At 41.4% G+C, this 15,672-nt stretch overlaps 1 protein-coding gene across 17 annotated transcripts in view, besides 1 other annotated feature; it reads right to left on the reverse strand.

The window, feature by feature from the left end:
• DENND5B (DENN domain containing 5B) overlaps positions 1-15,672 on the reverse strand; it is a 208,911-nt gene that overhangs the window by 190,619 nt on the left and 2,620 nt on the right. The window lies entirely within an intron of this gene.
• Positions 2,357-2,557: a silencer, noted in NCBI's record as "peak1655 fragment used in MPRA reporter construct". NCBI's record gives its function as "represses an SCP1 promoter by STARR-seq MPRAs in K562 erythroleukemia cells {active_cell/tissue: K562}" and the evidence as "EXISTENCE:reporter gene assay evidence [ECO:0000049][PMID:32103011]".

Below are 15,672 nucleotides of genomic sequence, written 5' to 3' on the forward strand. Positions count from 1 at the left end.
TAGCCTCTCCCGAAATATACCATTTTAGAAAACATAATTAAATAGATTTGGGGGACAGGAAAGCATTAAGGAAGAAAAAGACTTTTTAAAGAAAAAATATTTACGAAACTCATGCCAATTAAATCTGAATGTTCTCTTTAATTCTAAGAGCATCTTTTAAAGGACCTTAAAGCTTTATATGTTGCTGTGTAAGGAAACCTGAGCAGACTGGAGAAAAGCTCAAAGGCCTATCTATAATCTCATCACAAAGTGACAGGGTCAAAAGGCAGAGGTCAGGGAACAGGGTACAAAATAGTTCCCACACTTGAAAGAAAACTGTATCTCATTAGTTCAGAGATATTAAAAAATATTCAATTGTGTTACTAAAATGACAATTTATACTTTAAATCCCAAGGCAAATTTGAATATTATGAAATAATATACTTTTAAGAGCAAAAAATGTAAGAAGTTACCTCTTCTACATTTGAAAAAAACACCAATCTCTCGCTCACACATATACCAGTGCTTCAACTGTCCCTCAAAGACTGATGTTCAGATAAAAGCTGTCACCTGACCTATTCAATAGAGTTCAATAAGGCACTGAAATAAATACTGAATGTGCATACATGTCAACAGACATTTCATATCTGGGCCTCTGCCCCATAATGATTCAACAAGGTATGTCTACTTCATGGCCTTATGTTCACATTCAGAAAAAGCTAAATTTTTACTCTTGCTTAGAGATTTCATTCCAGGGAAAAGTGAATGTAATTTCGTTCAATATTCATTAAGTAGGCTCAACACTTGTGCAAGAGACTCTTATAATGACTCCATGATTCTTCAATGGACAATTAAATCTACAGAAGCTCTGGGGTCTAGGGCATTTGCTGGCTATCCCTCTACCACTTCTACTCTAACCACAAATTTTGTGTTCTAAGTGGCAGAGAGGGTGATAGAGGTATCAAAGAGATAAAGAGAATTCTGGCCAGGCACCGTGGTGCACGCCATTAGTCCCAGCTATCCCAGGAGGCTGAGGCAGGAAGATCCCTTGAGCCCAGGAGGTTGAGGCTGTAGTGAGCTATGATGGCCTGTTAATAGCCACTGTGCTCCATTCTGGGCAACAAAGGGAGACTCTTTATCTCTTAAAAAAAAAAAAAAAGGCACAGTGGCTCATGCCTGAAATCCCAACAGTGGGAGGCCAAGGTGGAAGAACCATTTGAGGCAAGGACCATTTGAGACTAGCCTGGACAACACGGTGAGATCTTGTCTCTACAAAAATAAAAAAAAAAATTAGCCAGGTGTGGTGGCATGTGCCTGTGGTCCCAGCTACTCGGAAGGCTGAGGCAAGAGAACCACTTGAGCCCGGGAGATCGAGGCTGCAGTGAGCTGTGATCGCGCCACTGCACTCCAGCATGGGTGAGAGAATGAGACCCTGTCTCTAAAAAATAATAATAATAATAATAATAATAATAATTTAAAAGGGAGGTGGCCAGGCGCGGTGGCTCCCTGTAATCCCAGCACTTTGGGAGGCCAAGGCGGGTGGAGCTCTTGAAGTCTGGAGTTCGAGACCAACCTGGGCAACACAGCAAAACCCTGTCTCTACTAAAAATACAAAAGTTAGCTGGGCATGCTGGTGCATGCCTGTAGTCCCAGCTACTCGAGAGGCTGAGGCAGAAGAATCGCTTGAACCTGGGAGGCGGAGGTTGCAGTGAGCTGAGATTGCGTCACCGCACTCCAGCCTGGGTGACAGAGCGAGACTCTGCCTCAAAATAAAAAATAAAATAATAAAAGGGAGGTGGAGGGGGAATTTTGGAATCACCAGTATGGTTCTTAAGTTTTTGTTTTCTACCAACTTCTATCCTCTCCATACACTCAATACTTTAATTATTTCCCCATTGGCCCCATCCACCAGAAACAAGATGATTTACAAGTGGTTCACTGTAAACGGGTCCTGTCAGTCCTTCACTATGAAGAATATACAAGATTTTACATTCTAGTACACACAGCTTTCACATATTTAATTAAAATCAGATTGTAGCTAGAGCTGCCAGTGAAAAAATGAAGCACTGCCAGACAGGAGTGAGAATGACCAAACAAAATAACCTATTTTCACATAGTCACCTCAAGGGTACCAATGCCTGTGTTTTAACTGTGAAATCACAGTCATTGTTCTGGTGAACAATGGCACAAAACAAGTTAAGTCCAGTGTGAAAGTTCATTTTCCTCGAGCTGAGCAAGAATATTTTGAAATCCTGACAAAAGTTTATTTATTAAGAAAATACATACACTTGAGACAGGAGATAGGAAATAGTTTTAAACAATCTGTTATCTTGTTACCCCAGCCATTTATATTTCCTTAAAAGTTAGAGTTGAAGTTGAGGATAACTTAACCTAAAAATAGAAAACACTGTGGTTCTAAAAGTAAATCACCTACAAGCTTTAAACCTATAACCAGCCATAAATTCCTACTGCTCAATGTATTCTTATTAAAGTTAGTATGTCATTCTCATAGAATTCCAATTGATAATGTTGGTGCTGATTCTTGTAACAAAGGAGGACTACATCAGGGAATTACGTAAGAGTAGATTGTGACTACCCACTTCCCCCTTCAAAAGCAAGTCACATCTCTGCCCAAAGGAAACAATTCCTTTTTGCTGTTTTAGTCCTGATCTACAGCAATAAAAAATTGATATAAATTTAATATCTAGAAAGAATATCCTTAGACTAGCAGATTGTCCCTGTTTTCTCAAAGGACCACAAGAGAAGGAAGAGGAAGAAAACTGAACAGATACTGGAAATAAAAGGTACTAAACCCGAAAAGATGTGAGATATAAGAAATTGCCCAGTTTCAGGCTGGATGTGGTGGCTCACACCTGTAATTCCAGCACTTTGGGAGGCCCAGGCAGGATAGCTTGAGTCCAGGAGTTCGAGACAGCCTGGGCAACACAGTGTGACCCCATGTCTACAAAAAAATTTAAAAATTAACCAGGCACATAGCAGGGCACGGTGGTACATGCCTGTAATATCAGCTACTTGGGAGGCTGAGGCATGAGAATTACTTGAACACGGGAGGCGGAGGTTGCAGTGAGCCAAGATCACGCCACTGCACTCCAGCCTGGGAGACAGAGCAAGACTGTCTCAAAAAACAGAAAGAAAGAAAGAAAAAAGTTAACCAGGCATGGTGGCACATGCCTGTAGTCCCAGCTACTCAAGAGGCTGAAGTGGAAGGACTGCTTGAGCCAGGGAGGTTGAGGTTACAGTGAGCTATGACTGTGCCACTGCACTCCAGCCCGTGTGACAGAGCAAGGCTCTGTCTCCAAAAAAAAAAAAAAAAAGAAGAATGAGGCCGCGCGCACAGGGGCTCACACCTGTAATCCCAGCATTTTAAGAGGCCAAGGTGAGTGGATCATTTGAGGTCAGGAGTTCCAGACCAGTCTGGCCAACATGGTGAAACTCTGTCTCTACTAAAAAATACAAAAATTAGCCAAGCGTAGTGGCAGACGCCTGTAATCCCAGCTAATCGGGAGGCTGAGGCATCAGAATCGCTTGAACCCGGGAGACAGAGTGTGTTGCAGTGAGCCGTGATCATGCCACTGCACTCCAGCCTGGGAGACAGAGCAACACACCATCTCAAAAAAAAGTAATAATAATGAAAGATAAGAAAGAGACAGAGAAAAGAGAGAAAGAAAAGAAAAAAGAAAAAAAGAAATTTCCCAGTTTCTGCTAGAAATGAAGGTAAATGGAAGATTCAGACAGACATTTCCAAGAGTTTTTTCAGGTCAGGCGTGGTGGCTCACACCTATAATCCCAGCACTTTTGTAGGATGAGGAGGGAGGATTACTTGAAGTCAGGAGTTCGAGACCAGCTTGAGCAATAAAGCAAGAACCCATCTCTACAAAAAAAAAATGTTTTTTTTAATTAGCTGGTCATGGTGGCGCACAGCCGTGGTCTCAGCTTCTCAGGAGGTTGAGGCAGGAGGATCACTTGAGCCCAGGAGTTTGGGAGATCAAGCCTGCAGTGAGCTATGATCACACCACTGCACTCCAGCCTGGGCAGCAGAGTGAGACCTTATTTCTAAAAAAAAAAAGAGCGAGCTTTTTCACTATGAGGTTTTACATAATGATACAAGAACTTTTTTGTCAAAAGAATATTTCTTCTTCTACAGGTTTTTCTCAAAAAGGGACAACCAAAAGAGCAATAAGAGGTGGCATCATGAGGACCAAGGTGAAAATAAGGGTGATCTTTGAAGAAGGGATTAGAGAAAAAAAGTACAAAAGCCTGGTCTATGAGCAATCTTGTGTCAAGCTGTACTGAGGAATTAAGATGATCAGAAATTTACTTAATTTACATTATCACTTCTACATTGATGTTTTCTCAAACTATAGGATAATTTCCTGTTTAAATAAATGACAGAGTATGTTGTACTAGAAAAGAGGAAGAGAAGGGAGGGGCAAGAAAATATAGTCTACAAAGCAGAAACCTGGATTCTCCAGGCATGGACAGGAAAAAATTAAGCAAAATTAAGTGGATTTTCATCAGAAGGTCTCTGGGAATCTATAAAAATAGATTTAAACTTAAAAATATTTAAACTTAAAAATATCTTTAGGCCGGGCACGGTGGCTCACGCCTGTAATCCCAGCACTTTGGGAGGCCGAGGCAGGCAGATCACGAGGTCAGGAGATCGAGACCTTCCTGGCTAACATGGTGAAACCCCGTCTCTACTAAAAAATACAAAAAATTAGCCAGGCGTGGTGGCGGGCGCCTGTAGTCCCAGCTACTCAGGAGGCTGAGACAGGAGAACGGCGTGAACCTGGGAGGCAGAGCTTGCAGTGAGCTGAGATTGCGCCACTGTACTCCAGCCTGGGCGACAGAACGAGACTCTGTCTCAAAAAAAAAAAAAAAAAAAAAAAAAATCTTTAAACTGGGTTTCACAGTTTAAAATCTAGAGGTCCACAAACTATATTTAAGGATTCAGCACTTCAGTCTTCACAGCAGAACTGAATGAAAAAATTCTACAGGGTCCAGTGCAGTGGCTCACGCCTGTAAACCTAAGCACTTTAGGAGGCCGAGGCAGACTGATAGCTTGAGCTCTGGAGTTCGAGACCAGCTTCGGCAACATAGTGAAACCCCATCTCTACAAAAAATACAAAAATTAGCCAGGCGTGGTAGCACACACACCTATAGTCCCAGCTATTTGGGGGACTGAGGCAGGAGTACTGCGTAAGCCCAGAAAGTGGAGACTGAAGTGAGCCAAGATCATGCCACTGCACTCCAGCCTGGGGGACAAAGTGGGACGCTGTCTCAAAAAAAAAAAAAAAAAAAAAAAAACTACAACCCTAACATTATTAACTCCATCACATTTTTGTTTGTTCGTCTTTAGCTCAGATCACCTTTTGGATCATTTTTTATTGTAATTTATAAATACTCTTTCCAAAACACTGTCACATTGTATAATTGAGAAAAGTATCTAGAAACAATCCAGATCAGCAAAAGTGTTGAGACACACACTCCCATGGGTGTCCTCAGATAATGCACAAAATAGTTTTCTAGAGGAAAGTAAAGCAAACAGACTGACTACTTCTGCAGTGATATTCCTAAAAGGCTTTATTAATATGTGGAAACTATTCATAGCTCATCAGTAACGGTAGCTTACCAGTAGCATAAAATAGATTTCCCATTATGTATGGGGCTATGCACAATTACTGGTTTGATGCATATAATGCCACCTTTCTCTCCCACCCAGTAAAAGCATACAGGAATGGAACTGAATAAAAATAATATCATTAGAGGGAAGACCTTGAATCCATTCCACTTATTTTAAAATATATATCATAACCTCAGTATGTCTACTACTGTTAATAATTACTTGTGACCTAGCTCATGAACAGTAGGCCCATTAATGTGTCACCACCCAGCAGTTGAGGACAGCTGGTCTGAAGGACTCAGAGGGGCAGCAGGGCGTAGGAAAAAAGGCTAGTTTGCAGCCAGACAGCCTGGGATGGAATCCAAGCTATGGCCTTTCCTGTCTTTGGGCAACTCACTGAATGTCATCCTTCTCATCTATCAAATGAGAAAAGTCATATTTTCAAGTTATTGTGAGAATTAGCGTTTATAAATCACCAACCACAGTTCATGCCTCATAAATGTTAGCTATTTTCATAGCATCATAGAATAAGGGTGACTTCCTGGGATTACTTCTGACTTAATAATGCTAGCACATATCTTTGAAAGTCATTTAAATAAAGCATTATTTCAAAATTAGCTTTCTGCATGAGTGATATACACAAGTTTCTAACAGAAAAATAAAAGGTAACCCAAGAAACCCATGTTAGTAAAAATAGTTACAAGAGTTAATTTCAAATAAAGTTAGTAAAGTCATAGATTCTTGGAAAAGGTGCAGAACATCTGAGAAAGCTAATCTTGCGGCCTCTTCTATCCTCAGGATGTGCTGTCTCAGCAGCAGATAAAATACTAATACTTTCATTCCTAGAATTCTGAGTTCTTACCTCCTCACACTCAACCAGTCATCGCTGCATTTTGTTTGAAAAGTAATGGAGGCCAGGCGCAGTGGCTCATGCCTGTAATCCCAGCACTTTGGGTAGCCGAGGGGGGTGATCACCTGAAGCCAGGAGTTTGAAGCCAGCCTGGCCAACAAGCTGAAACCCCTTCTCTACTAAAAATACAAAAATGAGCCAGGCTTGGTGGCGAGTGCCTGTAGTCCCAGCTACTTGGGAGGCTGAGGCAGGAGAATCACTTGAACCCAGGAGGCAGATACTGCAATGAGGCGAGATTGCGCCACTGCACTCTAGCCTGGGTTTATTTATTTATTTATTTATTTTTTTGAGACACAGCGAGATTCTGAGAAAGAAAAGGAGAAAGAGAGAAAGAGTGAGAGAAAGAGGGAAGGGGAGGGGAGGGGAGGGAAGGGAGAGAGGGAGGAAGGGAGGAAGGAAGGAAGGAGGGAGGGAGGGAGGGAGGAGAGAAGAGAGAAGAGAGAAGAGTAATGGGGAAAGACAGTCCCATATCAAAAATTTTTGGAATCTCTGGCCAAGAGGACCTTACATGGTGCCATCTTAAAAAGTCAAGCCTTAGGTAGAACAGTGCATTGTAAAGCACAATAGGAGAGTATAAACAGAAAAAAATATATATAAAAAAATATATATATAGGATTAAACTTTATTGAAACAAAGAGAACTGTACTGACTGACTGTGCCCAAAGCTGATGTAGGTGCCATGAAGAACAAATCTGTAAATGCAGTTTCCTAAGATATTCCTTTAAAACCACAACTGAAGCTACAAGTGCTCTTTAGTACAACCACTTTCTGAAATTTCATAAATACTGCCCATCATTTACATGCTCATCACTTGGCACTAGTTTATAAATAAATAAGACATGTTTGCTTAAAAAAAAATCAAAGCCTTGTTGGTACCTGCATGCTTGCTTGCATATACCTGGTAAAAATGGTTAATTTTATTTACCGTATCTTATTTGAAGAGGAAAGGAATAGGCTAATACATTTTATAGTTGAAAGAAATTTTATTAGCCCTTCACAAAGCTGTTAGATACCTTTTTTTAGAAATCATTTATCCATTATCTTGCTTTTTCATCAATCTCAAGCTTCTCATTTTTAAGAAAACTCTAGCTTCCATTTTACTGTTTTTATTTATTTTATTTTATTTTTAATTTTTGAGACAGGGTCTCACTCTGTTAACCAGGCTGGAGTGCAGCAGCGCAATCTCAGCTCACTGCAACCTTGACATCCTGGGTTCAAGCGATTCTCGTGCCTCAGCCTCCCGAGTAGCTGGGATTACAGGCAAACACCACCACGCCCAGCTAATTTTTGTATTTCTAGTAGAGACAGAGTTCCGCCATGTTGGTGAGCATGCTCACAAACTCCTGACTTCAAGTGATCCACCCGTCTCGGCCACCCAAAGTGCTGGGATTATAGGGCTAAGCCACCGCGCCTGGTCCATTTTAGAGTTTTTAAAATCCACACATAGGCCAGGCATAGTGGCTCACCCCTGTAATCCCAGCACTTTGAGAGGCCAAGATGGGCGGATCCCTTGAGCCCAGGAGTTCAAGACCACCCTGGGCAACACAGACCCCATCTCTACAAAAAAAATTTTTTTAATCAGTCAGGCATAGTGGTGCACACCTACAGTCCAAGCTACTTGGGAGGCTGAGGTAGGAGGATCACTTGAGCCTAGGAGGTTGAGGCTGCAGTGAGCTGTGATTGAAGTATTGCACTCCAGCCTGGACAACAGAGCAAGACCCTGTCTCACTCTTGTTATAAATAAACAAATAAATGTAATATTTATTTGTTATAAACAAATACCTAAAAGTTTGAATCTTATTCTAAATACAAAGGAAGTTATTAGAGAATTTTAAGTAGAAAAAAATTATTCTAAGATCTCAATGACTATATTTGGGAACTGGCAGTATCATCCATACTACAGTAATAATCTAGAGATTAGTACAGTAATTTCAAACAGGAACCCCTGGGTCCTTAAAAGTCCATGTAGATAATAATTGGGAGTCCATTAATTGACATTAAGATTTCAAAATGCTTCTTAAAAATTGTAGCTTTCGGCCAGGCACAGTGGCCTGTAATCCTAGCACTTTGGGAGGCCGAGGCGGGCAGATCACCTGAGGTCGGGAGCCCGAGACCAGCCTGACCAACATGGTGAAACTCCGTCTCTACTAAAAATACAAAAAAAAATTAGAGGGACATGGTGGCACATGCCTGTAATCCCAGCTATTCGGGAAGCTGAGGCAGGTGAATCGCTTGAACCTGGGAGGCGCTGGCTGCGGTGAGCCGAGATCACACCATTGCCCTCCAGCCTGGGCAACAACAGGGAAACTCTGTCTCAAAAAAAAAAAAAAAAAAAGTAGCTTTTCTGGAAAGGGAACTGTATAAACTAATTGATTTTCTCCCTTTCCTGGTGGCTGATTTTCTAATTACTTAATCGCTCCTCATGTGGTATAGTTATCCCTCAGTATCTGTGTGGGATTGGTTCCAAGACTCCCAGGATGCTCAAGCCCCTTACATAAAATCGTGTAGTACGTACAGATAACATACGCACATTCTCCCGTACACTTTAAGTCACCTCCTGGTTAGTTATAATACTCAGTACGATGCAAATTCCATGTAAATGGTTGTTATGCTGTATTGTTTAGGGAACAATAGCGAGAACAAAAAACACGTACATGCAACCACAATTTTTGGTTTTTATTTTTTTTGGAACACTGTATTTTCAATTTGATGATGGTTTAATCCACAGATGTGGAACCCACACACATGGAGGGCTGACTATACATGTGGTGTGTACTCGTCCTCTTGTTCTATGACATTTAGGATTAATTTTTTTTTAACAGATAAACTTAGTTTTTTTACTCAAAAACAATTTCAGGCCCCAAGGGTGGTAGTTAGAAATCATTCATCTCATTTAACCCTTTTCAAGACAGACGAGAACACTGATGCCTGCGGCTGTCATAAGTGACAGGCCAGGAATGGAATCTCAGCTTCTGACTGTGCATTCAGCTCTAACTGCTGTACTCACTGCCCTGCCAGCTATGGTTTCACAAGCATTCATACATTCCTTTAAAAAACTATAAACTCACCTAATGACAAATTATTTATGCTAAGAAATGATAAAACCCAGTAAGAAGAGCAAAGAGGTTTTTTAAAAAGTTAAAAGTGGTATATTTCATAGTAAAAGCCTTTATACAGTAACACCTTATCTTTAAAAATATTCATTGACAAAAGCAAAAATATCATTAAATATATAATCTTCTAAATCTAAATCTGTGATGAATGAATGAGGAAATGCATGCAAGAGAAATTACTAGTGCTGACCAAAGAAGAAACAAGCTAGGTCAGGTCATAAAGGCCTGCCCGATAGTGTCGCCTTTAATATCTTTCCCATATAGAGGAATAAGAAGATAATTTCACTTGACGATAAGGTTACCCATTTGGGATCTATATTCTGGTAGATTTTACAATCTGTATGATACAGCATATGTTACTAGGGAGACAGCAAATATAGTGGTTATGGGTATGGATGTTATGGGTATGGATGAATTATGTCAGACAGATCTTCAATCCAGGCTTCTTACTTATTATAGGAACTGAAGTAAAGTATTCATTCTCTAGACTCAGTTTCCTCCTGTGTACAAAAGAGAAAACAGGCCAGGCGTGGTGGCTCACGCCTGTAATCCCAGCACTTTGGGAGGCCAAGGTGGGTGGATCACAAGGTCAGGAGTTTTAGATAAGCGTGATCAACATGGTGAAACCCCATCTCTACTAAAAATACAAAAAGTAGCCAGGTGTGGTGGCGTGTGCCTGTAATCCCAGCTACTCAGGAGGCTGAGGCAGGAGAATCACTTGAACCCGGGAGGCGGAGATTGCAGTGAGGAGAGATAGCGCCACTGCGCTCCAGCCTGGGCGACAGAGTGAGACTCAGTCTTTTAAAAAAAAAAAAAAAAGAGAGAGAGAGAGAAAAGAATGCCTATTTCCTAAGGTTGTTGTCCAGACTGAATGAGGTACTGACTATAAAGAATTTAGCACAGTGGTTGGGTGGGGTGGCTCACAACTGTAATCCTAGCACTTTGGGAGGCCGAGGCAGGAGGATCACCTGAGGTCAGGAGTTCAAGACCAGCCTGGCCAACATGATGAAACTCCGTCTCTACCAAAAAATACAAAAATTAGCCAGGCATGGTGGCACGCACCTGTAGTCCCAGCTACTTGGGAGGCTGAGGCACGAGAATCACTTAAACCTGGGAGGCAGAGGTTGCAGTGAGCCGAGATCACGCTACTGCACTCCAGCCCGGGCAACAGAGCAAGACTGTGTCTGGGAAAAAACAAAAACAAAAACAAAAACAAACAACAACAACAACAAGAATTTAGCACAGTGTCTGGCATGTGGAAAGCACTCTATAAATGTTAGCTATTTTACTATTTCATCACAGATTCTTATAGGACAGTGGCCACCACTTACGTATGTACTCCAGAATCTGACACACTGTAAGCATTTAACATTAAATAATCCAAAATATAATAGCTAGTTATGGTTTTACCAAAAACAAAATTTAGGTCATTATTAAACAAAAATGCTAAGGATCAGGCATATGGCACGTTTCCTAAAGCATCCTGTATAGAACCATCTCTACCATTCAGTAAATTATAGAAGAGGAAATTGTTTTCTTCCGTATGAAGCTTTATGGAAATCATGACTAACAATGCATTGTATTCTAGATATTTACTTTTATTACTCTGAGAGTATCTGTGACCAACAGTGGAAATACAAGCAAAAGGATGTGCACAGGAATTTTAGGACAGTCTGTCTTAACACCTTAGCAGCAAACAGAACTTGTACTCCTCCAGCCTCCTTTCTCTCTCCCTGTCCCCTTTTCTTTCCCTTTCTCTCCTCCCTCAAAGACACTATGTCTCACCCTCTTCCCCTCCCTTGTCTTCCCAGTTGTCTATGCTGGTGTGTCCTGTATTAACAAAATGGGCCATAAGCCTGAGCCTTGGGGTTATCACAGAGAATTTAGCTTCACTCACTCTTGGGCCAATTTCACTATAAAGAGTTTTATTTCCAGTAGATTTCCAAAATTAAATGATCATTATACCACAGTGTCTTAGTCTGTTTTCGTGTTGCTATAAAGAAAATACCTGAGGCTGGGTAGTCTATAAAGAAATGGCGCAGCCAGGCATGGTGGCTCACTGCCTGTAATCCCAGCACTTTGGGAGGCCAAGGATGGGTGGACTGCTTGAGCTCAGGAGTTTGAGATCAGCTTAGGCAACATCTTTGTAGAGATGGCAAAACCCCATCTCTACAAAAAATACAAAAATTAGCCAGGCATGGTGGCACATGCCTGTGGTCTCAGCTACTAGGGAGACTGAGGTGAAGGACTGCTTGAGCCCAAGGAGATTGAGGCTGCAATAAGCCAACATTGCACCACTGCACTCCAGCCTGGGTAACAGAGACTCTGTCCCACACCCCCCACCCACCCTCCCCGAAAAAAAAGAAAGAAAAAGAAAAGAAATAGTTGGCGGCTATACTACGCAAGAGGCATGGCGCCAGCATCTACTTCTGGTGAGAGCTTCAGGCTGCTTCCTCTCATGGCAGAAGGCTAGCCAATTAGAGATCACATAGCAAGAGAGAGGAACGAAGAGGGTAGGGGAGTGGTGCCAGACTCTTTTTAACAACTAGCTCTTGTGGGAACTCATAAAGGGAGAACTCACCCATTACCTCTAGGAGGGCACCAAGCCATTAACGAGGGATCTGCCCCCATAACCCAAATATCTCCCAATAAGCCCCACCTCCAACATTAGGAATCAAATTTCAACATGAGGTTTGGGGACAAAGAGCCAAACTAGCACACAGCAACCAGATCTTGAATCTTCTTTGGCCTCATTAAAATGAAGGCTGATCCCTGTACTACTCCTTCCCCAGCCCCTGAGCTACCCGGGGCAGACCTTCCAAACTCCCAAGAACCTATTGTGAGCCAAGGATGTCAACAAAGCTAACAATTGACACAGTATCAATGGTATTTGGATCACGGCAGCTTCTATCCCAATTAAGCCTATACACCCGGCCACTGTTTTTAAAAAACACACTTCAGCACAGTCTTGACTATGACATTCAGTCTGGAATAAGGGCAATCCTGAAATGCTTGTTGAATGAGTCAAGCTCATCTTTTTTCTGAGTTTAAATAGAATAACTATGGAGCATAGTGGACTGGAACCACCAGGCACTAGTCAGGTGTCTACTGCTGATCAAATGTAATCTGAGAGGGCCCTTAATCTCTGAGCCTCAGTCTCTTTACCATAAATATGTCTAAGGTCCCTTCAAGAACTAACGTGACATGATATTCTGTCAGTCTTGACTAAATGTTCTGCTTATTTGAATTCAGATCATGGTCTCCACCGTCTCTACGCTCTTTTGAAAACCACACCCAACACAACCAAAGCTAAAAATAGCTAGAGAGAGACACTAAGGAAAAGATCTAAACAAAGTTCTATGGCAGAGATCTCATCCATCAGACTTCGACAACTATTAGGAGGGCTGAATCCAGGCTACCAAGGGAACACTTTAAGAATATTCTGGTCATCACATAATTTGTAGACTCATGTAAACTTATATTCATTCCCTTATTAAACACTGTGTACTGTATATAAGGTACTACGAAAGAGGCAAAGTCCCTTCTCTCTTAGAGGGCTTGTATATTTATTTTACTTAATCAAGGCCTTATCATGTCCTTCATTTTCCCATTGCTCAAAAGATTGACTGCTGTAAATTAAGCCATGTGTACTCCTACAGCCAGGTCTTAAAGGAAATAAAAGCTATAAAATAAGATTTCAAAATGATGTCTGCCTTCCCTGACATCAACTAATTGCATGATTTACCTCCATTTATACCTCCTTTCTTCTACATGCAATAAAGAATCTCGTTTTGAAACCTTTTCCTTATCTTTAATATTTAAAGGGAATTTAAACATTTCTCCCAAAGGACGTTTTGTTCATGGGCAAAGTACCTCTTGAAAATATACAGTGGGTAGGAGAAGCACAAGAACTTCGATGTGGTACAGAAAGGACGACAGGTAATATGAGTATATCAGTATATACATGTGGACATCACCATAAAGTTTCTAAGTCCTCCATTTTAAAATATATTTTTATGTATATAGTTAAATTATTTTCAGCTATTAAGAGTTCTACGTATTTGAGATGAAAGAAGTCTCTTCCATTGCTGTTTAAGCTTGGTTTTACTAGGAGGGTCTAAAAACCATTTGAAGCCTTGATAAGTTTTATTATAAGGTCTTAGTCTATTTAACTGTTGTTGTCTTTGATTTCAATGTCCCACCACCTGCAGAGTGTGAATTCTAGGAATATGCGTATGTTAAGAAAGTCTATGAAGCAACTGGTAGAATTTATGTTTAATAGAAGTCAATTAAGACCTTCTAGAGGCACGGTGACAACTTGCTAAGAAAGTGTGATAAAGACAGATCAGCTCCAGCAAGGCAAAATAGAAACTTGACTATCATTAACTTTGAAATTAATGCAGCAAAACAGAAACTACCTTCTGGCTAATTTGCCTAACACAGTTTCATGATCCCCAAATGTTGCTCTACGGAAATAGTCAAGAAAATTCTTAGTTGAGAACATGATATGACATTCTCCTGTTTTCCTGCCATGTCACTATCCACACTCCTTAATCTCCTCGGTTGCCTCCTCCTCCTCATCCTCCCCACCTATGCATGCTAGAATGGCCCCAGGGCTCAATCATTTGCGTGTCCTCCTCTCTTTTCTATCTATACTCAACCCTTAAGTAATTTCATGGCTTTAAATTTATACCTACAGTCCAGATCTTCCCCCAAGAGATGTCTTGTCTATGTGACATCTCCATTTGAATGTCTAATGGACACATCAAACTTAATACATCCAAAACTGAACTGATTTCCAGTCTGATTCTCCATCAGTCTTCCTATTTCAGGAGAGAAGTTTATAATTGTTCAGCCCCAAAATCTTGGAGTCATCTTTGATCACTTCTTTGAATATGACTACCATATTCATAGAATTCATACATATTCATATAAATCATCAGCAAATCTCGTTGGGCCTACCTTCAACATCTATCTAGAATCTGAGTCCTTCCTGCTGCTTCACCAAGCCAACAACTTCTCTCACCACAAATACCTTTTTTTTTTTTTTTTTTTTTTTTTTTTTTTTTTTTTTTGAGACAGAGTCTCCCTCTGTTGCCCAGGCTGGAGTGCAGTGGCACGATCTCAGCTCACTGCAACCTCCACCTCCTGGGTTCAAGCGATTCTCCTGCCTCAGCCTCCAGAGTAACTGGGATATTACAGGCATGTGCCACCACGCCCAGCTTTTTGTATTTTCAGGTGAGATGTGGTTTCACCATATTGGCCAGGCTGGTCTTGAACTCCTGACCTCAAGTGATCCACCTGCCTCGGCCTTCCAAAGTGCTAGGATTATAGGCGTGAGCCACAGCATCCAGCCTCTCACCTCAAATACTGAAAGAGCTCCCTAACTGGTCTCTTGCCTCTACCCCTGCCCTGATATAGTCTACCCAACATGGCAGCCACAACAGTCATTTTAGAAGGCACATCAGATCTTGTCATTACTCTGCTCAAAACCTTCCAATACTTTCCCATCTCAGAGTTAAAAGCCTAAAAACTGCATGAGGCCCTATACAATCTCCCCTGCCCTTTCTCTTTGATCTTACCTACTACTCTCCCTCTCCCTCAGCTCCAGCCATACTGGACTCCTTGCTGTTACCAGCACAAACTAGTGACTGTCCCACTCAGGGTCTTCGCACTTGCTGTTTCTTCTGCGTGCAATGCTGTGCCCCCAGGTGATCCATCTGGCCTGCTTCCTCATGTCCTTCAAGGCTCTGTTCAAATGTCACCCTCCCTGTGAGGCCTTCCCTAACCATCTTATTTAAAATCACAACCCCACCATCCCACCACTCTGCTGGCATGTCCCTAAATCCACTCCCCTGCTTTATTTTTCCTCATAGCACTTATTAACATCTGGAGAACTATATACAGTCGGCACTTCACGTGGACTCCGCATCCACAGATTCAACCAAGCACAGATTGAAAATGTAGTTAGGCCTACAATGGTTGCATCTGTACTGAACATGTACAGACTTCTTTTCTTGTCATTA

This window comes from Homo sapiens, chromosome 12, assembly GCF_000001405.40.
Source record: "Homo sapiens chromosome 12, GRCh38.p14 Primary Assembly".
Classification (NCBI taxonomy): domain Eukaryota; kingdom Metazoa; phylum Chordata; class Mammalia; order Primates; family Hominidae; genus Homo; species Homo sapiens.